Raw genomic sequence first — 26,357 nt, forward strand, 5'->3', positions numbered from 1 at the left:
TTCTTGGGTCTTCTATGCAATTTCAACAGCATACTTATATTCTAGTACTTTTAAAATACTTTTCCTTTAAGGCACTAACACATCGTTTAGATGATGGCCACTAATAATGAGACTGAACCTTGCATTTCAATTTTTTATATCCAGGCATATATGGCTCCTTTAAGAAATCTGGACTGAGAATCCAATAGCCCTCTGCTGTTTAGCCTAAGAGCTGAGCTTTAGTTGTGTTTAGGCAATAAACAAATTTCCTTTGATTCTCAGAGGATGGTGTTATAAAGATGAGTAAGAGGTTATTAATTCTCTGAAGGAACTTTTAATGTAGTCAGTTGGATAATGATTAGCATTTGAACAGAGCTTTCCTTAGTAAAGCATTTTCACACACACAGATTCAATTGGTAAGTATTTGCAGCTTGTAGTTTATGGGTGTTTGTTTGATCTCCAGATAAATCTGATGGCTTAATACAGATACATGTTTTTCTTCTGTAATCAAACTGTGACCCTGCACGTGAGACATGTTTTAAAAATATATGTCATTGAGCATAAAGGAAACAAGGAAATGTGGCAAGTTGAGTGTAAAACCTATCATGATTCCTCAAAAACCTACTCAAGTTATGTTCTCATACTGTGGGCTTTTTTGTATCTTCTTATTGGAAGAATAAGCAAATGCTTACGGTGGAGTTTTTAAAACAGATTTGGGATGTTGATTAATTCTGCACAGGCCAAAAATGTAAATGCACATTTGTCACGAATTCAGGTTTGGTACACTCCCCTCCAACAAATTCAAATCATTTTCTGTTATTTTCCAATGGCCAATGCCAAGCCTAAATTTCAGACATTTTCCTTGTAGTATGGATCATCATACTTTGGATAATTGAAAACACTTTAATGATTTACTTCAAACATTCACCAGATAATTTTCAAGCCTTTTCCACTTTGGTTTGATTAGCCTTGTCTGAGACTGTGTCTAATATACATGAGAGGAACAAAAGAAGGAATTGTTCAGCTTGTAGTTGGCAGGAATGTTCTATTGCTGAATAAGTTCACAAGTTATGGCTGGAATGATTTGGTAATAGTTTTTCCACTGTGCATAGCCAGACAATCTCAGCCAACCAGCAGAACAGAATCTATACTGTCAAAATGGAAAAAGTAGTGGCAATTATGAAGCTGGGGGATTCTGGCAGTACATGCAGAATTTGGCTCTTTCACTTTGCCATGAGGAGGAACATATAGGCACCAGCTATAGCAGCTTGCTCTGCTGCTGTATTGCCCGGAGAATATCTGACACTGAAGATTAATTACAAAGCCCAAGTTCTTGGTTCAGAATTCTTCATTCAAGTGCTCTGAGAACCTCTGTCAGTAAAGATTCTGACATGCATTGTTACTTCCCTATTCTGTTGACTGTATAACGGAAAAAAAAATAGCAAACATTTGTAAGCACTTATGTGCTTTTAAAAGTGTGAAATTCTTTCCATATATTAACTTAGTTAACTCTCACATTAACCCTATGAAGCTAGTACATTTTTTAGCCCTCTTTTCAAAGATAAGGAAACAGAAGTACAGAGAAATAGCCCCCAAGTACCTTGCCTGGGATTACATAGCTAATGAGTCTGATTATAGAAACCACACTTCTACCACCATTCTTTAGTGTCTCGATATGAAGAACACAGTTCAAGAGGAAAATCTATATTCTCTTCTATAGGCCCTTAGGCCACTTTCTATGGATTTCTTTTTCTTTCTTTTCTTTTTTTTTTTTTTTTTTGATAAAATTTTTTTTTTGGGAGAGTGGAGGTGGATACAGAGATATGTAATTTCCTTCTGAAGTATTAAAATAGAGAAAATAGTGTTTGCCATTTTTTGCTTTTCTGCTTCAGCATTATAATTTTATGAATGTCTAATTTTTTTAATAATGTCAGGAGTATTCGTTGTAGATTTAAAGTGAAATATGATTAGAAAATTTGACAGTTTTTGTTTTTGATTGTTGGTCTTGTTAAATGTTTTAACCATAAAATTAATACTGTATGATAATTAAATAATGCCTGCATACTCTATTCATTAGATTATTATTTTTAATTAGTATTTTGCAGTCAAATGTTATAATTTAGTTATAATTTAACAGAAGTGTTTTCTGTCATCCATGTGTATATAATTAATATGTAGGTGAGAATTCTGGGCGTTTTATTCATTGTCACGTTCCCAGTAACCAGGAGGGTTCCTAGCACATACTCAGTTCCCAGTGAGAGTTTATTGACTATATTCATGTGTGGATGAATGATGAAGTTAAACTCCTTGAGCTTATTCAAATGTATAATTTTGCTTTTCTTTACTAAATATTCAAGTTATTGTTGATGAAGAAAGTCAATAACATAAGAAGCAGCAAGAAGCTGAGAATAACGTGCCCTTTCTCAACCCCCACCCCAAACTGACTCTTTTGAGCTCCTTGAGGAAGAGTACTTTTTCACTCATTTCTGCATTCCTAGTACTGACACAGCGTAGTGCTCTACAAGTAGCTAACAAAGAATGAGTCAGTAATTGAGCAAGCTGGATGATCTAAGTTCTTACTCTTTTATTCATACCTCGTTTGAACAAGTCTCAAATGCAGAAACTGTAGTGTTTTGGGAGCATGTTACCAAAGTGTAAGGTGGGAATGAGGGGCCACACATTCCGGCGGCAACAATCTTGCATTTCTGAATTGAGTGCAGCCTCACAGGCCAAGCTCCAACTGCCCTCTGGAACTTAGAATCCTTATAGTATCAACATCAAGAGATCACTTAGCCTCTGCTTTAATACCTCCTTTGTCATGTAGATTTAGTGTAGTCTTTAGTTCCCATGACCCCAGAGTATGTTTCCCTGAGGTTGGCTCAGCCCATTCACATTTTGTTCAGCAAGCTTAGGTTTCCTGATGCAAGGTATCCCTTTAAATATTGGAGGATAGCCTTCATTTCCAGAGGCTACTCTATACTACCACATTAGTTGCGTGTTTATATCCGTTTCTGTGATATGCTTGACTGTCTCTTCCTGATGACTGTCCTTAGAGCTGGTCCTAATATGTCTATATTAATAACTCATTGGGCTGCAAGACAAAAACAATATTGAATGATGAGTCAGTGGTAACCTACAAAGCATCCAGTGATTTGCTATGGTATACTGTTTTCAGAAAGAATATGTACTCAGTAAATGTTCTTGAAGACTTGATTGATTGACTGATCAATACTCATACTTCTTATGTTTTCACTCACAATACGTGGTCTTTCACATGCACTTCCTTCCTAGACATGTTCTGTGTTCACTCTTCTCTTCCATCCATGTGTAATTTCCATCAGTATATCCTATTCCTTCATGACGAATGCCTCCCCATCCATTCATAACCTCCTGCACCATGTCCAGTCCAGTGTTTTTTGGAAAGTCTAAAGTAAATGAACTATTTTTTAAAGTTTTCTAATTTTTTTAACAGAAGCTCCATTACCTACTCCCACCTCCCCACATGATGAAACAGGGAAACAGTGCTGCAGGCATACAGTGACAACAGGACATCAGGAAATGCCCAAGAAGGTCAGCCCCACCTTAACATGATGTTTGCAGGAATTTGGACAGCACATACCAACATTTCTAAGAAACATGCAAACCAATATATCATTTGTAATTCAAAATATATGTAAGAGTTGCAATTAACAATCAGGTCTCTTTGAATATTAAAGTTATCAAGTGATGACCATGAATAACATGATTAACACTCACAACACTATTTATCATCATATAAATGGTCATATCTTCAGTCTGTGTTTTATGTTTAAATTCCACATAAGGAAATAAGTATAATAATATCATAAATTTCAGCAATGTTTTATTTTTAAGGCTCCAAAAATATTTTAAGAAATATTTGTTGTTTGTTCAAAACCGCAAGATTTAACGTCCAAGGTATCACAATTAATGAGGTCATGTTAGAATATTCACACTTTTTATTAACAAAATCAGTTTACATTTTGATAAGTTATCTTTATATATGTCAATTGTAGGAAATTAATTTTAGTCATTAAAAAACAAAAATTTTATAAAAGATATGATAATTTAAATTCACATATTAAGACAATAGTCTTTTTTTAAAGATTGGTTTATGGTGCACAGAATTCATTCATGACATCAGAAGCATATTCATAACATAATCTTGGTTATGCCATATGTGACCATAAGAACGATCATTACCTTTAACAGCTGTGAATTCCTAACAAAGTGAAAACATGCATAGTCAAGGTCAATAATTTTTTTTATTGCAATTTTCCATTTTCCCATCATCAAAGGCTGTCAGTACAGGTTTCTTTGGTCTCAGTATTTTTCTGCATATAAAAGAACGTGGGTTTATTGCTCATTATGCTCTGGTGCTTCTGGGACAATCATTTCAACACCTTAATCTATGTAAGACTCTAGTTATTTTTTGTGTTAAATATGGATACCAAATTTTTCCACTTGTAGATAAAACCTGAAAGATGCCATGATTAGTCAACTATTGGATTTTAAGAATAAATCTGTTATATCTAAAATCAAATATAAAAGATGTCTGGATAATGTCAAATATTAGAGATATATTAACATGTTTACAATTACTGTTTTTCTTTAATCAGTTGCATTCTTTTGTCATGCATTTGACAACACTCTATTTGAATGAATTCTCATGAGTAGTGTTGATTTTGTTGTTGAGTGCCATTAAATAAAATTTCTATATTAGCATATAGTGATTTTAAGAATGTAATAAGTAAACTATTTTTAGTTTTGAGATTATAGTAATTATACTGTTTTTTAACAGTTTGTTAGGTGCTGTGTCATGAATCAAGTCTTCATTTTAATGTGTTCTAATTGTTGTAAAACAAGAGGGAATGGTATTTGGAATTTAGCTATATTTATCTTCTCAATCAAATTCTACTTCAGAGGTAAGTAAAAAAGAAGTTATAGCAAATCACATAAAATGGACAAAAAAGGTATACTGAAAAGAAAATAAATTGTTGATTATCTCAGGATAAAGAGGAAAAAGTAAATTTAAAAGTCTGCCTGTGTCTGTTATTGCTAAGAGAGACCAATGGATAAATACTTGGGATTCTTATTTTTTTTGTTTCCTTTCCTTTTTTTTTTAATCAATTATGTGAATTCACCTCGAAGCTATACAACTCTGATATTAACTTCCCAATTAGCAGTTTGCCAAGTCACTTATTCAACTTGAATTCCTGAGACCTTATTCAATGGAATTCATAAGACGTTCACCTGACCTAAAGGACCAGAAAATTCAAGACATAGTGTCCATGTATTCTGTTTGACATGACTTTTATGCAAAAAGTCAGAACAAAAAGTGCTGTAGGCCCAGCTTTTCCCACTGGAATAAAGTCTTGATGGTCTATAAACAGACAGTATCCTTCTTTATCTAGAAGAAATTACATGGGCATAGATTGATAACTCATGTTGTTTGGGGATGAAAAGTGTCTGCCACATTGGCAATGTATTCAGAAGCAATCCTCTGTACATATTACGTGATGCCCCACACATAATTTCCTAAAGTCAAGTATTTTGTGCCCTTTAGATTGCCGCTGCACTTATCAGACAGACACATCTCTCAAACATAGTTCTAATTTTTCTTGAAAAAAGAATCAGATCTAAATATTTAACTGTTTGAGCTGAGTTCAGTTGAATAAAAATGATGAATTGACTGTTGAAGTAATTATAAAGTTGACTAGGAAAAATAATAGTATGGAATGTGCAATGTCTTTCCATATTTATTATAGGGGCTATACATTTTGTTAAAATACAAGAAGTATTTGTTGCATTGGCAAAAGAGAGAATCAACCATTTAATGTTACTATTGATTTCAATCACAGAGCTAGTTCTGGAGAATTGAAAACATCATAGGTTAATCGACTAGCAGTTGTCACTCAAAATGGTTTGTTGCTATACTAGCATACTAATGAAAATTACATACCCAAATAAAGAGGAAGTAAGAAAACATGAGGAACTGATGAATCTCAGGAATGCAAAAATTTCTCCTAAGAATCTATATTAAAATATAGTAAAGCAGTTGTTTGATATCTTTATCATTTTTGTCAAACCAAAAATTAACAGTCTAAACTAATCTAATCAATTAATTATTTTACTCAGTAGTTATTGAACATGCACTTTGCACTATGCACTGTGCTAGAAAAAAGAAATATAAAGATTAATAAGACACAGTTCTACCCATGATATGTTCACAGTCAAGTAGAAGACTAAAACAATGTAATACAAGAGTAAATCAATGTTTACGTAAAAATAATTGTTTTCTGCCTGAGTTGGAGGTAGGTCAGAGAGAATATGAAAGTTAATAAATTGAGTTTTATGAAATAAGAATGTATAGTGTTATTAGAGCGGAGCTAAAATTAATGTGCCTCAAAAACTGGAATAAGTATTGTTTGTTAACTGAATTTGTAAAGAAAGATTCACAATAAATTGGCAAGTCATGGTAAAGTTTGGTGTTTCTGTGAAATGGAAAGAAGACGAAAAATGCAGACCAGAACTTTTGCAAGATTGTGGAATTCCATAATAACATAGTGCATAAAATTAATCTTTAATTTATTTATCACGAAGAGTGACCTTGAATATTATAACAGCAAAGAATTATGGAGCATTGTAACACCAAAGCCAGAAGTTGTAATGGTGAAACAGGCAGACGAGCTTCATGATTATGTTGCAGTGCTCCACAAATGGGTACAGTGATTGATGACCTGCAGGAAAATGTGCTTATGAGGTGAGGTTGCTTGATTTTGTTGTCAAATCAAAACAACTATAGATATTATTCCTGAGAAGCATTCTTTAACCTGGCCTTAATCAGAAAATAAGTAGTTCTGTGATGTAGGTCAGTGAACTTGCTGTGATAGCAATGATGTATGTGAAAATACCAGAGAGTACTACATTTTGTTATTGTTGTTAAAATGTTGTCTGTCAAGGTTCTATGTATGGAACAGATAAATTTACATTTCCTCTTCTACCTCTCTGGCCACCTCTCATTAGTGTGTTTTGCTGGGTCCTTGCTTCCTCAGCTGCTAAATGTTACAGGGTCCCAATACTCAGAGCAAGCCTTGTCTCTCCCTAGTTTACTCCCCCTCCACCTGTTTCTCTCTTTGCTCCCCATCCCAGCTCTTTTTGCTGATCTCATCCAGCCCATAGCTTTACATACCAACTATATATGAATGAATTCCAACTTTGTATCATTAGCTTCTCCCCATCGTCTCCATTGGATGTTTAATAAGCATCTTAAAATAAACACATAGAAAGCAGAACTTCAGAATCAATACCCAGGCCCATAATTCTCTTTCTCCTTTAGTTTTCTCTATGTCAGTAAATCACTCCCTCATCAAACAAATTGCTTGGACCAAAACTCTGGGTAGTGTTCTCCTTTAGAAAGTTTTGTCAAATGTTCCTCCAAAATCCTGAGTCCTTCTTTTCACTATCTTCACTACTTGCAACTTTTCAGTCCTCATCTTTTAATTAGACTGCCCTTATATGAATTCCTTACCAAACTCTACTCCTTCTTTTGCTTTCTTACAATTCACTTTTCTCAGAGCAGCAAAAATAAGGGGGATTTTTTTGAAATATAAAGGGATTCATGCTATTCTACATTGAAAACTTTTGCCACTTGCCATTGCCACCTGGGCTTCTTCCTGCTGCTTGTCTTGGAGGTCTCTATTTTGTGATCAGTCTGTTTACCTTGTGATCATTCCCCTGTGATCTGTTTACCTTGTAATCAAACCCTGTGATCTCTTCTCAGCCAGAGCTAATCTCGTCTCAGTCTCTGATCCCCCTGTCCAGTACTCTACTATACAAGCTGTGTTTTGGGTCTCAAGCTCATTTCCACTTGATAAAATTAGGCTTTGCATCCCAACCTAAATCTCTTCATGAATTTTAATCCCCATAATCCCCGTAATCCACATGTGTCAGGGGAGAGACCAGGTGGGGGTAAATGGATTATGGGGGCAGTTTCCCCAGTGCTGTTCTCATGATAGTGAGTGAGTTCTCATGAGATCTGATGGTGTTGTAAGGGGCTCTTCCTACTTTGTACTTTGGTTAGCACATCTCCTTTCTGCCACCTTGTAAAGAAGGTGCCTTGCTTCCCCCTGGCCTTCACCATGATTGTAAGTTTCCTCAGGCCTCCCCAGCCATGCTGAAGTGTAAGTCAATTGAACCTCTTTCCTTTATAAATGACCAAGTCTTGGGCAGTTCTTTTAGAGCAACAGGAAAACAGACTAATACAACATCTTTGGCCTTTTCCACTTAGCATGCACAAACTGGCTCACTGTATTATTTCAGTTCCATTTCATGTCACCTTTTTCAGAGGTGTCTTTGCTGATCACTTGACCTGAGCATTAGCCGTTCATGTGCATCTCTCCCACTCACACACTTAGTCTCTTGGTGCAATTCTATGTCTGACAATACTACCTGTAGTTTTTTCCATGGCACTTATCACTTTATGAATTCTTGTTTGTGTGTTTCTTTTCTTCTTTGCTGACTGCCTCCTCCTGTCAAATTTAAGCCCCTTAAGAGCATGAGTCTCATCTCCCTTTTTTATTTCTGAGACCTCAATATCTAGAAAAGTAATGGCACAATAAGTGTGTATGGAGTGAAGGAAGGAGATTCTACAGTTAGTTCTTGTTTTCTATCTTTAGAAACTTTAAAGAGATTACCAGTATATATATTTTAAGAGATACACAGAGCTGAAGTTGTGTCTTATTCATTACTCTAATATTGTCTTCTGAGAGCAAAGCATGACAAGTGTTTATTTTTCACAAGTTGGCATTCCATATGTTATTTATTTATTTATTTTATATTTATTTATTTATTTTTTGAGATGGAGTCTTGCTATGTCGCCAGGCTGGAGTGCAATGGCATGATCTTGGCTCACTGCAACCTCCACCTCCTGGGTTTAAGTGATTCTCCTGCCTTAGCCTCCCGAATAGCTGGGACTACAGGCATGCGCCACCATGCCTTGCTAATTTTTGTATTTTTAGTAGAGACAGAGTTTCACCATGTTGGCTAGGATGGTCTCGATCTCCTGACCTTATGATCCACCCGCCTCAGCCTCCCAAAGTTCTGGGATTACAGACGTGAGCCACCACGCCCAGCCACAAGTTGGCATTTCATATTTTAGCTACTTCTTGCACTCTTTAAATCCTGTACTTTTTACATTATTTCTTTTTTGTTCTTTAAAAGACTATGTGTCAAAAAGGAATTTGATTTGCAGAAACTAAATGTTAGCACTTTGAAACAATGCAGTAGGGAGAGAGAACAATAAAAATGTGTAATTTTCTACTTATAAACACAACACATTTTATGTCTTGGAATTAGGGATTAATTTATGAATTTTTTTTCACAAAAACGAAAGGTAATATAAAGTAATGTATTGACTTCAGACGCATTTTATTATTTTCAACTATTTACAGAATATACCACCACTTGAAAATGTACTGTTACTACAGTTATTTTAGGATAGAAAGAGAAGAAGAAAGAAAATGTTATAGTCATTAGATTCCTCAGTGAGGAAAGAAAAAAACATATAAAAGGGGAAAGATTTTATAATGGCAACAGTATCAAGAGACAACATTAATTAATATGAATAAATTATATCTACCACTCCTAGATTTTTCTTGGTAGTTTTATGTAATTATCTATGTCCTAATTCATTCCTACTAATCAGGATTCTACCTATATAAATAAACTGATTGCCTAGCACAAAGTGGGAGGTACTTCAGTGTAATTATTAGAACATGGATTTTGGGTTTAGAATACCCGGCTTTGAAACCCAGCTTCGCTACTTACTAGTTATGTGGCTTGGGCACATTACTCAGTTTCTTCTTGTGCAAAATGAGGATTAATTGGTAAATACCTACCTTATGCCGTTGTTTTGAGCATTACATATGGAAATGTTAGCTAATATAGTATTACTCTATTTATTATTATCTTTACCCTTACCCATGTTATCATATATTATTAGCTCTTGTCTTTACCATGTCATAGACCTCAAAGTTTATATTAGAACAAAAAGTAATTGCATTAATTTGCCATGGATTCATTAGACATCCAGAGCAGCAGTGTTTTCCAATGTAGGTAAATGGGTGTTACACCGAGGAAAAGCAGACTTATTTTAAAATTTGATAACTACTGAGTTAAATACGTTTAGTCAGGACTTTTCAGTGCCTTTAAAATGTGAATAAGGATGAATATGTTAATGAGCTTGATTTAATCATTCTACATAATATATAATAATATATTATTTGTATATAACAACTATTAATGTAGAGATACATAACAACTGTAGGTTTTTAATTTTTTACAATTGTATGCTTAATGTTTGTGTGATTAAAAAGTTAAAAAATGTTAATATGCATCACTATCTTCCCAAGGGACATAAATTGTGCAAGATTTTTCACAGTGGGGTATTTTTCCACAGAGGCTCTGCTGCTCTTAATTCACAGATAAGGAAAGAATGACTGATTAGGAAGAGAACATTCTTATGGTCAGGTTAGGGATCCTTTCTGCAGTATTAAAGAAACACATCTTTGAACTTGAAAAGCTTTAGTTTTTCATCATTACACTCATATAAAATGGATAACAGGATTTAAGATGAAACCGAAAGTAAGATATAATTTAGACCTGGCTTGTTTCACTCATATTTGAAAGAGACCTCTTCCTGTGGCTTAAGTAAACCAAATAGAGTGATTAAAGAGTATTGGTATGGTATGTATGTAGAACAAAACTGATCATGCCTCCATTTGCCTTTTCCAGTAATATATTTTGCTTCAGTAAAATGTTTCTACTTCTAAAAGAGATAGCATAGCATAGTGGTGCAAATGTAAACACTGGAGCCAGGTTGCCTGGTTTGAGACTCAGCTCTGCCCTTACTAGCTGTGTGACACTGATCAAATTACTCAACATCTCTGTGCCTCAGTTATCTTATCTGAAAGTGGAGATAATAAATAGATACTAATTCATAGGGGTGTTATAGATTTTAAATGAGTTACTACTTTTAAAGTATTAAGAACTGCTCCTGATCATAATGTGCACTGCTTATTTGTTAAATAAGGTAGAAAGGCTACTGATATGGTATGGCTCTGTGTCCCCACTCAAATGTCATCTTGTAGCCTCCATAATTCCCACATGTTGTGGGAGGGACCTGGTGGGAGATGATTGAATCATGGGGGGTGGATCTTTCCTTCACTGTTCTCGTGATAATGAATAAGTCTCATGAGATCTGATGGTTTTAAAAAGGAGAGGTTCCCTGCGCAAGCTCTCTTCCCTTGTCTGCCACCATGTGAGATGTGCCTTTCACCTGCCGCCATGATTGTGAGACCTCCCCAGCCACGTGGAACTGTAAGTCCAATAAACCTCTTTCCATTATAAATTGCCCAGTCTTGCATATGTCTTCATCAGCAGTATGAAAATGGACTAATACAGCTACATAATTACTTTTTACATTTTTTTGCCTTTCTTTTGTCCTGTGTCTACTGTCATATTCACAAGGAGGTGACAGGAAGAAGAATGAGTGTTCACTGGTAGAAATCTAATTCTGGTACTTTGTCTCTGAACTCAGTGATGTTCTATCTTGAAGCAAGTGGTTATTAGAGAGTTTCTTCCCCACCAATGACTGTGCGGTAGTGGTCAGATGGGAAAATAAATTTTTAGTTTGTTTTATTTTTTTGAGACAAGATCTTGCTGTGTTGCCCAGGCTGGAGTTCAGTGACATAATCACAACTCAATGCAGACTGCAACCTCAACATCCCAGATTTAAAGTGATCTTCCCACCTCAGCCTCCTGAGTAGCTGGGACTATCGATGTGATCCACCATGCCCAGCTAATCTTTCAATTTTTGGTAGAGACAGGTTCTCACTATATTGTCCAGACTGGTCTCAAGCTCCTGGACTCAAGCTATCCTCTTGCCTTGGCCTCCCAAAGTGCTGGGATTACAGGTAAAAGCCACTGTGTGTGGCCAGAAAATAAGTTCTTTGCTCTCCCCCGTATAAAAACATGTGGGTTTGTGCCTGGTAGTATACCATGTTAATCAAGAGTGAGGTTTGCACCTCTTAGTAGGACAATAGAGTCAGAAATCTTCTAATCATCTGGTTTTATCAGCACTACCACTTTCTTAATGTATTTACGTGATGATCTGGTGCGTAGTTGTTATAATAGTTAACATCGAATGAGCATCATCTAACCCTCATGACAAGCTTATTTATAAGGATCCATTATCATTATTTCCCTTCTACAGCAAAGGAATCCAAGGGATGTCTTGCTTAATTTAGAACTAGTACAATATTGAACTGGTTTAGAAACCCAAAGAATCCCACTCCAGAATCTGTGCTATTAACCACACTATAATTCAGTCTCTCTTGGAAACCTTAGAATAATAATCAAGCACCTGGAACATCTAAATTTATGCTTTGTATATCTTAGTAACAATTTCCCCAAGGCTCAGTAAGCGTTATAAACATGTGTATACCCATAAAACTGGGTTGTGATGTCCATAAATACATTATAATATTCAAAAAATGAAAACAATCCAAATGTTCATCAACTGATGATTGGATTAAAAAATATGATATACCTATACAATGGCATACTGTTTGGCAATGAAAAGTAAACAACTGCTGACACATGCTCCAACATGGATGAACCACAAAAAAAGCCCCACAGAAACAGTATGTTAAGTAAAAGAAACCAGATATAAAAGACTATAGGGAAATGTCCAGAAAAGGCAAATCTATGGAATCAGAAAGTAGATTATTGGTGGCCTAGGACTACAAGTTATAATAGTGATGACTGCAAATGAGCATGAGGGATCTTTTGCAGGCTATGAAAATGTCCTAAAGCTGGATTGTTGCAATGGTTGCACAAACCTGTAGATTTACTAAATAGCATTTATCTAAAAGAATTGTACACTTAAATGGAAGAATTTTATCATATGCAAATTTTGTCTCAGTAAAGTTTAAAAAAGACACAAATAGATTGGATCATGGCCCAGAAGTACCATAGTTTAATGATAAGCATAAAGCAGACTCGAAGTTTAAATTTTACAATTCATTGTAATTTTTAAACTTATCTGTGGTTCCCTCCATAATTTGTAGAATAAAAGATAAAAAGTAATTGTTTTAACATCTAGCATAAAAAATAAATTGGCAATAAAATAGGAATCTTATTTATTTAGAATTTGATACTGACCTTATTTCTCTTGGATATGATAAACTGAATGTCTCACTTTGGAAATAAATTAGATTTTGTCCTTCATTTAAAATTTGTCTTTTCAAATGAAAATGTTTAATTGGAAGTTTTATCATGTTATTATATTTATATATAAAGGAAGAGCTGCAAAGCTTAAAAGAAATCCACTACCTGTACCCTGGGTGAGTAACTAATACACTTCCTTATAGTCAATCACCCAATTTTATTATGTTCAGTCTTTTGATTTTCGCTAAATTGTACTTTGTGATATATGCAGGGCATTCATTTTTTATTTCTCCCATTTCACAGTTTAGACAACAGTCATACAGGGATTAAGCCTAAATCATGTAGCTATTAAATGGCCGAGATGTGGCTAGCACTCCGTTTTCCTCAATGCTAGTCTTATACAATCTGTACATGATCCTGCTATGCTGCACTCATTGCTCAAATTAGTAGATACTTAACAAGTACTGATTAATTCTGTACAGCCATAGTAGATATCATAGCTGGATTCTTTAACAGTTATATTACTATCATATTTTAAGATTCTTTTGGCAGCATATAGTAAATGGGAACTGCAAGCTATAAGGGTTTAAAATGTGACTTGAGACTGATGAATTATGATAGTCTTTGATGTGCTTCAGGCATCTACCAATAGACAGATGGAGAAAAGAATGATCCTACACATACACAACATATTCATCTGAAAATAATGTTCCTGAATGCATCATTTTTCACTACTGGGCTTTAAGCTTTGTGAAAAAAAATAGGAAAGTATTATAGATTATTTAACTATTGTGCTGGCTGGCCATACATCACAGCAAAAGAAGAGAGCCACCCTGCTGCTTTTTACAAAAGGTGTAATTAGGCTCTGATGGAGCTCCAAGTTATTCTTCCCCCAAAATATTCTGAATGGCCGATTTCCTAATGCTTAAAAGCCTTAGATCTCAGTCCATTTCTTATGGACTCAACAACTTACTATTAAAGAAAGACTTGTCAAAAGCTTACAAATCCATTTTCTCTCTTCTTTCTTAGTGTTTGTCTTAAAGAAATAAGTTTGTGGTTTCTTTAAAACAATATCTCTTGATCTATTCTTAGCATAATTATATTTCTTAATAATATTTCCTTTCTGTTGTCCTTACTCTGGTGAATGTATTGCTTCTTTTAGCAAAAAACATGTATCCTATAATCACTTTTTCAATTGCTGTGGTTATCATGTGAATTTATGTTTCTTACATGTGAAGATGGATTGTTCCCTGAAAGGTTGGACATCAAGCCTGCATATTTTGTTTTTTATTTGCAGTTGTTTTGTTTCACTTCATGTTTTCTGTATTCAGAACCTGATGCGCTGACAGTAAGGGAACAAAGATGGGTATCTTTTTTCATAAAGCAATATGCATGGGAACTATGGAAACACTTTTCTAGTTATATTTATTTATTTTGTTTTTAAGACAGTTGTTTTTTAGATATAAGTGAGACTGAGTGGGCTGGACTTAATGTAAAGCACATGTGTTGGCCAGTTTGCAGGCACTTGTTAGAGCTCTCTGAGCATATGTGGGATAATGGATTCTGTTTCTGTTACGTGTTTCTCATGAAGCCTAGCACTGTGTTTTTAAAGGCTAGGAAGCATATCAATGTATTGGAACTTTTTCTCCCATACGGTGATAAAGTGAAAAGGATAAAAAAATTGTAGGTAAGAGAGATTAGATTTCCCCAGGATAAAGCAGATTTGTATCTTTTATTTTTTGTATGAAATTTTCTACTCATCTCTCTATCTTTCTACCTTCTATCTATCTACCTACCTATCTATCTATCTATCTATCATTCTACCATCTATCTATCTATCTATCTATCTATCTATCTATCTATCTATCTATCTATCTATCATCTATCTGTCTTTCCCATCTAACAGTAAGCATCTTAAGGTAGAAGCCTATGAGTTTAGTTGTTGAATTTCCTTAATTTGTTTGAAATAAACACATATGTAACTCCTGAATATGTCACTTAAAGAGATACTTTTTTAACTTTTATTTTAAGTTCAGAGGTACATGTGTAGTTTCATTATACAGGTAAATTGTGTGTCACAGGGGTTTGGGGTATAGATTATTTTATAAGCCAGATAATAAGCATAGTACCCAAAAGACAGGTTTTCAATCCTCACCTTTCTCCCACTCTCCATGCTCAAATAGGCCTCAGTGTCTGTTGTTCCTTCCTTGTGTCCATATGTACTCAATGTTTAGCTCCCACTTATGAGTAAGAACATGTCGTATTTGGTTTCCTATTTCTATGTTAGTTTGATTAGGATAATGGCCTCCAGCTCCATCCTTTGAGATTTGCAAAGGACATGATTTTATTCTTTTTTATGAATGCATATTATTCCATGGTGTATATATACCACATTTATTTATGTATGTGTGCATGTGTATTCATGGTAGAATGATTTATATAATTTTGAGTATATACTCAATAATATACTCAATAATGAGATTGCTGGGTGAAATGGTAATTTTGACATGATTTCTGCAAGTGATTTCTGAGCATTATTTCTAAATATGTTTTTTGTAACATTATTTCTAAAATGCAATTTTCAAATGCTATAAAGTATTTCTATTATGCCTCTTCAACATTGAAAGCATCTTAGAATGTTTTAATTCTGCTCACCACCTTACCATCTAATATTTTAGAATCATTTGTTTTATGTTTCATAAATTAACCATTACTAGAGTTGTTTTATACAACATTGCTTCTTTAAATTTACTGACATGCTTTCCAATTTCTTGGCTCGCTATGCCTTCACACACCTTTCTGTCTCAGTTTTCATATTCTTAAAATACAACCTTTAGTTCTTTCAGTTAAGATCAGTTAGTAGAAGACTCTGTTTGTTTTTTTGAATTATATTTACTTTACCCTTCATTTTAGATTATGACTTACTACTGGGCATAGGACTCTAGGCGAACAGTTATTTCCACTCTGCATTTTAAAAATATTAACCCATTATTTTCTGGGCTGCATTGTTGCTTTCGAGAAGTCTAAAATCAGCTATCAGCACAATTTCATTAATTGGCACTTTATCTGTCTCCTCTCTGGTTGTTTTCAAGATCTTTTATTTTCTTTTGTCATTGGCCTTTATGATGATCCGAGATGTGTAATTTAAAAATTATACCCGTGTCTGATGATTTTCTTCTATCTGAGGATTCATGATTTTTGCCAATTCTGAGCTATAATTCTTTAAATACTAATTTATTTTCATTTTTCTTACTTTTATTCTTTCTCAATTTCTATCAATTTTGTTTTTTCTTATTTTATCATTTACATCTCCTAACCACTTTTTCTAATTTTAATATATCTATATTTATCCACTTCATTTTGTCTTGTTCATTTTCTTGTTCACGTCCTTAGTCAATTTAAACATACTACTTCACAGATTGTCTTTTTTTATTATCCTAAGTTCTTGGGTTTCCATTCCTATTGCTTGTTCTCTGGGCTGACTTTCCGGCACAGTGTACTGTTGTCTTATACATTTTGTCATTTTGGCTTGTAAGGTCATCCTAAGCTTTGAAATCACCTAGGGTCTGACTTTCATCTACTCTGGCAGATGTTCCTGTGCTATTGCTACAGTCCACTGCTGGAGATGATTGCCAAGATGTATAGGTTCTATATATTTGAACCCCAAACCTAGGTAAAGTTTTTTAAATGTTGCAAAAACGAACACCTTTTTTTTTTCATGCACCCAGAATATGAGGAAAACATCCATGTCTTCTACCTTGAATAGATATATTTATTTTTCCTGCCTACCCGCTAACAGATGGTGCAGCTGTTCTAGGTTCCTTCTTTGATTGAGATATCTCTACTTCCTCATTATCCGTGGTCTACATCAGTGTCAACCCCAAATTGTTTAGTTACCCAGCAAATGATCAACTTCCTCCCCAACAAAGGTTTATTTCCACACCAGCTCATTGGTTTGCACTATCGTTCCTTGCCCTTGGAAAGTCCCTTTCCTTTTTAAGTAAATCTAGATACGCATTTTGAGAGATGTTTTAAGTTATCTAGTCTAGCTAGACTAGTAAATTGAGATAAATATAAGTCTCCCAGAATACTAAATTATTTAGCTGTGGTTTCTCTAAATATTGAGGACCAATATCACCCATAAATAAACTGATTTTTAATGTTTGTAATCAACTCATCATAAAGAAGCAGGTGACAATAAAATAAATTGATAGTGAAGATTTATTTAAAACTTAATACTTCAAAGGGGATTTAAAGGATTTAAAATAGAGACATCCTTATCATTATATATCATGACAGTAAAATAAGAGTTGATGATTTAAAATTTATGATTCTGGATTATGATTAAGATGGCAGATAAGAGACAAAACTAGCTTGGGTGGACAGAGCAGCTTGTGGAGACTTACATCGTGAACTTTTGCACCAAGAACTACTGCAGGAACATACCAGGAAAGCCAAGAGAATCAACAGACCTTTTGAAGGACTGGATCACCACTGCAGGCTCCCTGAGACACTGAAAAACTGTGAATCGGCTTGCTTTCTGGACAGGAGGCTCATGGTCTGGGATGAGTTCTCAGCCCTGGTCACTGGTGGCCTAGAAATAGATTTGGTGTTGTTATGGGGGCACAATGGGACTGGATGTTAGGACTGCCAGCTGCATGGGATTGGGATGAGGCTGGTGACTGCTGGCATTTCCCCATTTCGCTGGTGACCTGTATGACTCAGTAGAGGCAGCCATAATCTCCCTGTGAATATAATTCCATTGGACTGAGAACTACACTCCTATTCCCCACAACAGCCAAAGCAAGCCCTGCCCAAGGAGAGGCTGAGCTCAGAGCTCAGACAGGCCTATCCCTGCCCCGACCTGATGGTCTGCCTCTACCCACCCTGGTAGCCGAAGACAAAGGTCATAATCTTTTGGGAGATCTATGGCCCCACCCACCACCTGAGAATCCTGAATACTTAACCAGTTGTCCCTAGGGCAAGTTTACCTTCCCCCATAGGACCTCAGCTGATGCACTCTTGAAAGCATCACCTCCTGGCTGGAGGCCAACCAACACAAAACCAGCACACTAAATGAAAACACAACCAGAGACCCTCACAGAGTCCACCTCACTCCCCTACTACCTCCACTGGAGCAGGTGCTGGTATCCACAGCTGCAAGACCTGAAGACGGATCACATCACAGGACTCTGTGCAGATACTCCCCAGTACCAGCCTGGAGCCCAGTAGCTCTGCTGGATGGCTAGGCCCAGAAGAACAAAAACAATTACTACAGTTTTACTCTTAAGAAGCCCCATTCCTAGGGGAAGAGAGAGAACACCACACCAAGGGAGCACTCTGTGGAACAAAAGAATCTGAACAGCAACCCAGATCTTCTGTCTGACATAATCTACCCAAATGAGAAAGAACCAGAAAAATAATTCTGGTAATATGGCAAAACAAGGTTCTTTAACACCCCCAAAATTTTGTACCAGCTCACCAGCAATATATCCAAGCCAAGACAAAAACCTCTGAATTTCCAGAAAAAGAATTCAGAAGGTCAATTATTGAGCTAATCCAGGAGGCACCAGAGAAAGGTGAAGTCAAATATAAAGAAATTAAAAACATGATACAAGATATAAAAAGAAAATTCTGTGAAATAGAAAGCATAAATTAAAAAAAAATCATAATGTCTGGAAATCAAGGACACACTTAGAAAAACGCAAAATGCACCAGAAAGTCTCAGCAATAGACTCGAAGAAGCGGAAGAAAGAACTTCAGAACTTGAAGACAAGGCTTTTGAATTAACCCAGTCCATCAAAGACAAAGAAAATAGAATTTTAAAAAGATGAACAAAGCCTCCAAGAAGTTTGGGACTGTGTTAAAATTCCAAACCTAAGAATAATCAGTGTTCCTGAGTAAGAAGAGAAATCTAAAAGTTTGGAAAACATATTTGAAGGAATAATTGAGAAACACTTTCTTGGCTTTTCTAGAGATCTAGACATGCAAATACAAGAAGCTCAAATAACACCTGGGAAATTCATTGTAAAAAGATTGTCACCTAGGCATATAGTCATCAGGTTATCTAAAGTCAAGACAAAGGAAAGAATCTTAAGAGTTAGGAGGCAAAAGCATCAGGTAACCTACAAAGGAAAACCTATCAGATTTACAGCAGATTTTTCAGCAGAAACCATCAGGATAGAAGAGATTGAGGGCCTATCTTTACTCTCCTTAAACATAACAATTATCAGCCAAGAATTTTTTATCCAAGGAAACTAAGCTTCATAAATAAAAGAAAGATACAGTTTTTTCCAGACAAGCAAATGCTGAGAGAATTCTCCACTACCAAGCCAGCACTACAAAAACTGCAAAAAGGAGCTCTAAATCCTGAAATACACCAAAATAGAATCTCCTTAAAGCATAAATCTCACAGGACCTATGTAACAATAACACAATGAAAAAGAACCAATGTATTCAGGAAACAAACAGCATGATGAATAGAATAGTACCTCACACCTCAATACTAAAGTTGAATGTAAATGGCCTAAACGCACCACTTAAAATTTATAGAATTGCAGAATGGATAAGAACTCGCCAACCAAGTTTCTGCTGTCTTCAGGAGACTCACCTAACACACAAGGACTCACATAAACTTAAGGTAAAGGGGTGGAAAAAAGAGATTCCATGCAAATGGACACTGAAAGTGAATAGGAGTAGTTCTTCTTATTTCAGACAAAACAAACTTTAAAGTAACAGAAGTTAGATAAGACAAAGAGGGACATTATATAATGATAAAAGAACTAGCCTGACAGGAAAATATCACAATTCAAAATATATATGCACCTAAAACTGGAGGTCCCAAATTTGTAAAACAGTTACTACTAGACCTAAGAAATGAGATAGACAGCAACACAATAATAGTGGAGGACCAAATTTGTAAAACAGTTACTACTAGACCTAAGAAATGAGATAGACAGCAACACAATAATAGTGGAGGACTTTAATATTCCACTGACAGCACTAGATAGGTCATCAAGACAGAAAGTCAGCAAACAATGGACTTAAATTATACCCTACAACAAGTAGAACTAACAAATATATACAGAACATTCTACCCAACAATTGCAGAATATACATACTATTCATTAGCACATGGAACATTCTCTAAGATAAGCCACAAAACAAGTCTCAGTAAATTTAAGAAAATTGAAATTATATCAAGTACTCTCTCAGATCACGGTGAAATAAAACTGGAAATCAACTCCAAAAGGAGTCCTCAAAACCATGCTAACACATGGAAATTAAATAATCTGCTCCTGAGTGATCACTGGGTCACAATGAAATCAAGATGGAAATTAAAAAATTATTTGAACTGAACGATAATAGTGACACAACCTATCACTACTTCAAACTGAATGATAGTAGTGACAAAACCTCTGAGATATAGCAAAAACGTGCTAAGAAGAAAATGTATAGCATTAAATGCCTATATCAACAAGTCTGAAAGAGGGCCGGGCATGGTGGTTCATGCTGGTAATCCCAGCACTTTGGGAGGCCAAGGCAGGGGGATCAATTGAGGTGAGGAGCTCAAGACAAGCCTGGCCAACATGGTGAAACGCCATCTCTACTAAAATATAAAAATTAGCTGGACATGCTGGCATGTGCCTGTAATCCCAGCTACTCAGGAGGCTGAGGCAGGAGAATCACTTGAACCCAGGAGGTGGAGGTTGCAGTGAGCCAAGATCATGCCACTGCACTCCAGCCTGGGGAGCAGAGTGATACTCTGTCTCAAAAAATTAAAAAATTAAGTCTGAAAGATAACAGATAGTATAAGGTCAGACTTCATGAAATTGGAGAAACAAGAACAATCCAAACCCAAATCCAGCAGAAGAAAAGAAATAACAAAGATCAGAGCAGAACTAAATGAAATTGAAGCAACAGCAACAACAAAAATACAACAGATCAATGAAACAAAAAGTTAGTTCTTTGAAAAGATAAAATTGGTAGACCATTAGCAAGATTCACCAAGAAAAGAAGAGAGAAGATCCAAGTAAACTCAATTAGAAATGAGAACAGGAGATATTGCAGCAGATAGTATATAAATACAAAAAAATATGCAAGGCTACTATGAACATCTTTACATACATAAACTAGAAAACCTGTAGGAGATTAATGAATTCCTGAAAATATACAACCCTCCTATATTAAACCAGGAAGTTATAGACTCTCAGAACAGACCAATAACAAGCAGTAAGGTTGAAATGGTAATTAAAAATTTGCCAACAAATAAAAGTCCAGGACCAGATGAATTCATGGCTGAATTCTATCAGGCATTCAAAGAAGAATTGGTACCAATTTGTTTGACACTATTCCAAAAGATAGAGAATGAGAGAATCCTCCCTAAATCATTTTATGAAGCCAATATCACCCTAATACCAAAACCAGGAAAGAACATAACGAAAAAGGAAGGAAAACTACTGACTAATATCCCTGAACATCAGTGCAAAAATCCTCAACAAAATACTAGCTAAATGAATCCAACAGCGTATCAAAAAGATAATGCACCATGATCAAGTGGGTTTCAAACCAGGGATGCAGGGATGGTTTAACATACATAAAGTCAATAAATGTGATACACCACATAAACAGAATTAAAAACAAGAATCACATGATCATCTCAGTAGATGTATTAAAAGCATGTGACAAAATCCAGCATCCCTTTATAATTAAAAATCTTAGCAAAATTGGCACAGAAGGGACATACCTTAAGGTAGTAAAAACCATCTATGATAAACCCACAGCCAACATAATACTGAATGGGGAAAAGTTAAAAGCATTTCTGCTGAGGACTGGAACAAGACAAGGATGCTCACTTTCACCACTTCTATTCAGCATAGTACTGAAAGTCCTAGCCAGAGCAATCAGACAAGAGAAAGAAAGAAAGGGCACTCGAATCGGTAAAGAGGAAGTCAAACTGGTGCTGTTTGCTGATGGTATGACTGTATACCTAGAAAACACTAAAGACTCATCCAAAAAGCTTCTAGAACTGGTAAGTGAATTCAGCAAAGTTTCAGGATACAAAATAAATATACAAAAATTAGTAGTTCTGCTATATACCAACAGTGACCAGGCTGAGAATCAAATCAAGTCAACCCCTTTCACAATGGCTGCAAATAAATAAATAAATAAATAAAATACTTAGGAATATACCTAACCTAGGATGTGAAAGACTTCTACAAGGAAAACTATAAAACACTGCGGAAAGAAATCATAGATGACACAAACAAATGAAAACACATACCATACTCCTGAATGGGTAGAATCAATATTGTGAAAATGACCATACTGCCAAAAGCAATCTACAAATTCAATACAATTCCCATCAAAATATGACCATCATTCTTCACAAAACTAGAAAAAAAAATCCTAAAATTCACATGGAACCACAAAAGAGCCCACATAGCCAAAGCAAGACTAAGAAAAAGAAAACATCTGGAGGCATCACATTACCCGACTTCAAACTATACTATGAGGCCATAGTCACCAAAACAGCATAGTAGCAGTATAAAAATAGGCACATAGACTAATGGAACAGAATAGAGAACCCAGAAATAAAGCCAAATATTAATACTTAAAGCTGACTTATCTTTGACAAAGCAAACAAAAACATCAAGTGCGGAAAGGACACAATATTCAACAAATGGTGTTGGGGTAACTGGCTAGCCACATGTAGAAGAATGAAACTGAATTCTCATCTCTCACCTTATACAAAAATCAACTCACAATAGATCAAAGACTTAAGTCTAAGACCTGAAACATAAAGATTCTAGAAGATAACATTGGGAAAACCTTTCTAGTCATTGACTTCGGCAAACACTTCATGATCAAGAACCCAAAAGGAAATGCAACAAAAACGAAGAAAAATAGATGGGACTTAATTAAACTAAAAAGCTTCTGCACAGCAAAAATAAATAATAATAATCAGCAGAGTCAACAGCCAACCCACAGAGTGAGAGAAAAATCTTCACAATCTATACATCCAATAAAGAACTAAAATCCAGAATCTGCAAATAACTCAAACAAATTGCAAGAAAAAAATCCAATCAAAAAGTGGGCTAAGGACATGTATAGACAATTCTCAAAAGAAGATATACAAATGGCCAACAAGCATATGGAAAAATGCTCAACATCACTAATTATCAGGGAAGTAGAAATCAAAACCACAATGCCATACCAGCTCACTCCTGCAAGAATGGCCATAATCAAAAAATCAAAAAATAATAGATGATGGCATGGATGCGATGAAAAGGGAACCATTTTAAACTGTTGTTGGTAATATAAACTAGTATAACAACTATGGAAAAACAGTGTGAAGATTCCTTAAAGTACAAAAAGTAGATCTATCATTTGATTCAGCAATCCTGCTACTAGGTATCTAGCCGGAGGAAAGTAAGCCATTATACGGAAAAAAAAAAAAAAAAAAAAAAAAAACTTGCACACACATGTTTATAGCAGCAAAATTTGCAGTTTCAAAAATATGGAACCAGCCCAAATTCCCATCAATCAATGAGTGAATAAAGAAAATATGGTATGTATGTATCATGGAATACTACTCAGCCATAAAAAGGAATGAAATAATGGCACTCACAGTAACCTGAATGGAATTGGAGACTATTATTCTAAGTGAAGTAACTCAGGAATGGAAAATCAAACATGTTCTCACTCACTTATGGGAGCTAAGTTATGAGGATGCAAAGGCATAAGAATGATACATTGGACTTTGGGGATTTGGGGGGAAGGGTGAGGGATGGCAAGAGATAAAAGACTATACATTGGGTACAGGGCACACTGCTCGGGTGATGGGTATGCCAAAATCTCAGAAATCACCCACTTGGGAGAGACTGAGGTGGAAGGATCACTTGCAGTGAGCTGCATTCATGCCACCACACTCCAGCCTGGGTGACAGAGTGGGAGACCCCATCTCAACAACAAAAAAAAGAAATGTTAGCCAGATTCATTAATTTTTGAATTCCTTAAAGGTGTTGGCAGACATAATAGTAACCTTTTGTAAAATACAAGTTGAGTATCCCTTATCTGAAATGCTTGAGACTAGAAATGTTTCAGACTTCAGATTTTTTCAGATTTTGGAATATTTGTATTTACTTAGTGAAATACCTGGTGAACAGGGCCCAATTCTAAACATGAAATTCATTTATGTTTTATATATATCTTATACAAATAGCCTGGAGGTAATGCTATACAACATTTTAATAGTTTTGTTCATGAAACAAAGCTTGGGCTGCGTTTTCACTGTGACCTGTCACAGGAGGTCAGGTGTAGAATTTTCCGCTTGGGGCAACATGTTAGTGCTCAAAAAGTTTTAGATTTTGGAGCATTTCAGATTTCATATTTTTAGATTAAGGATGCCCAACCTATATAGAAATGGCATCACAGGTTATTTCGCCAAGGTCATGCATTCAGTTATTAGTAATGTGGTATTTTCAAACAGAAGTATATCTAAAAGCTGCTTAAACAATGTATTTGAGCCATTTTTTGGAATTCATGACACATAGAGGCTAGAAGAATTTCAGTAATGGTAGTCAATATGATAATACCACTGTGAACCAGGCACTGTTTGAAATGTTCCATTTATTGACTTATTTAAGTCTAACAAGGTCATGAGATTCTATTATAATCCCATTAAAAGACAAAGTACTCTGAGGTAGCTCTTTCTCAAAGACATGTTGGGATTTACAACCAGGCCATCTGCAGCCTGGCTCCACAGTCTAGCTGTGAGCTACAGCTCTGCACTTTCTCTTTTTTAAACACAGATTCACGCACAGGCAAACACACACAATACACATGCGTAGCAACACATATACCCTAACACACTCACACACAGCCTATGGCGTGATGATTATCTTAGCAATGTTTCTACTTTGATTTATCTCTCTGTTTTTCTGATTGGGAAGAAAAGGGAAAAATTTTCTCACTCTTCAATTTATAATAATGGCCCCAATATAATGAATCATCTAATCTAATATAGGAAGATGTTATTTTAGAGGAGTTGAGGTACATATTTTATATGATTGAAGCCAATATCTTATCTGTGCAATTAATTTCATGGAGTTCTCAAATTATTACAACTCTGATTTTGTAACTATTGGCAAACAATATATTTTATTTCAAACGAGTATGTAGTGACTTAATATAGAATCTATGCTGTCTTCTAACTCAGAACAAATGAATGACATTTTTTACTAGCAATAACTTATTTTTGTTGCTTAGTCATCTTATGTATAATGATTACCTATTTACAGATATCAGATATTTGATGCTTATTTTGGTTTTAATTTATTTTTATTGTTTAATATTGTCTTTTTGTGATTATAATTTGTTTAAACCATATAATTGTTTGAAAATACACCTAAATTATAGTCAACTTTAAGAAGATCATAAAAATGGAAATAATGTTCTAACTGAATAGGAAGAACATTTTGTTTTCTTTCATGATATATTCAGGTAAATCATATTCTATTTTCTTTTATCATTTGACTGGCTAAACTAAGTGAAAAATGTCTGTAGAAATGATTTTTGCCTGCTCAAAATATAAAGACCTAAAAGAATGGTAGCTGTTCTAATTCTTTTTTGCCTTAAAATACCCTAATGATGAAGGGATGCTGGATTTTATTGAAAGCTTTTTCTGCATCTATGGAGAAATGCAGAACCACAATGAGATACCATCTCATACCAGTCAGAATGGCTATGATCAGGAGGTCAGAAAATAACAGGTGTTTGCTAGGTTGCAGAAAAAAGGGAACACCTCTACACTGTTGATGGGAATTATACACTGTGCAGTCACTGTGGAAAGCAGTTTGGAGGGTTCTCAAAGAACTTAAAACAGAGCTACAATCAATCCAGCAATCCAAATACTAGATACATACCCAAAAGAAAATAAATCATTTTACCAAAAAGACACACACACTTGCATGTTTAACACAGCATTGTTCATAATAGCAAAGACATGGAATCAACCTAGATGTCCATCAACATTGCACTGAATAAGGAAAATATGGTCCCTATACACCATGGAATACTATGCAACCATTAATAAAGAATGTAATTATGTCCTTTGCAGCAACATAGAT

The 26,357-nt window shown here is 35.2% G+C and overlaps 1 protein-coding gene across 9 annotated transcripts in view, besides 1 other annotated feature; it reads left to right on the forward strand.

The window, feature by feature from the left end:
* PRR16 (proline rich 16) overlaps positions 1–26,357 on the forward strand; it is a 330,317-nt gene that overhangs the window by 149,366 nt on the left and 154,594 nt on the right. For 3 of the 9 annotated variants that reach the window (NM_001308088.1, XM_047417290.1, XM_047417291.1), the window contains 2 exon segments: positions 3,452–3,549; positions 4,799–4,922. The exons of 5 other annotated variants lie outside the window; for them this stretch is intronic. Coding sequence is in view for 1 of the 4 variants with exons in the window: in XM_011543452.3 (XP_011541754.1) it covers positions 3,538–3,549 (12 nt within the window). In the remaining 3 variants the exon portion in view is untranslated. 9 annotated transcript variants of the gene reach the window in all.
* Positions 2,429–3,023: an enhancer, noted in NCBI's record as "OCT4-NANOG hESC enhancer chr5:119951767-119952361 (GRCh37/hg19 assembly coordinates)". NCBI's record gives its function as "activates a minimal SCP1, AML or CMV promoter by ChIP-STARR-seq in primed H9 embryonic stem cells {active_cell/tissue: H9 hESC(primed)}" and the evidence as "EXISTENCE:reporter gene assay evidence [ECO:0000049][PMID:30033119]".

This window comes from Homo sapiens, chromosome 5 (genome assembly GCF_000001405.40).
Source record: "Homo sapiens chromosome 5, GRCh38.p14 Primary Assembly".
Classification (NCBI taxonomy): domain Eukaryota; kingdom Metazoa; phylum Chordata; class Mammalia; order Primates; family Hominidae; genus Homo; species Homo sapiens.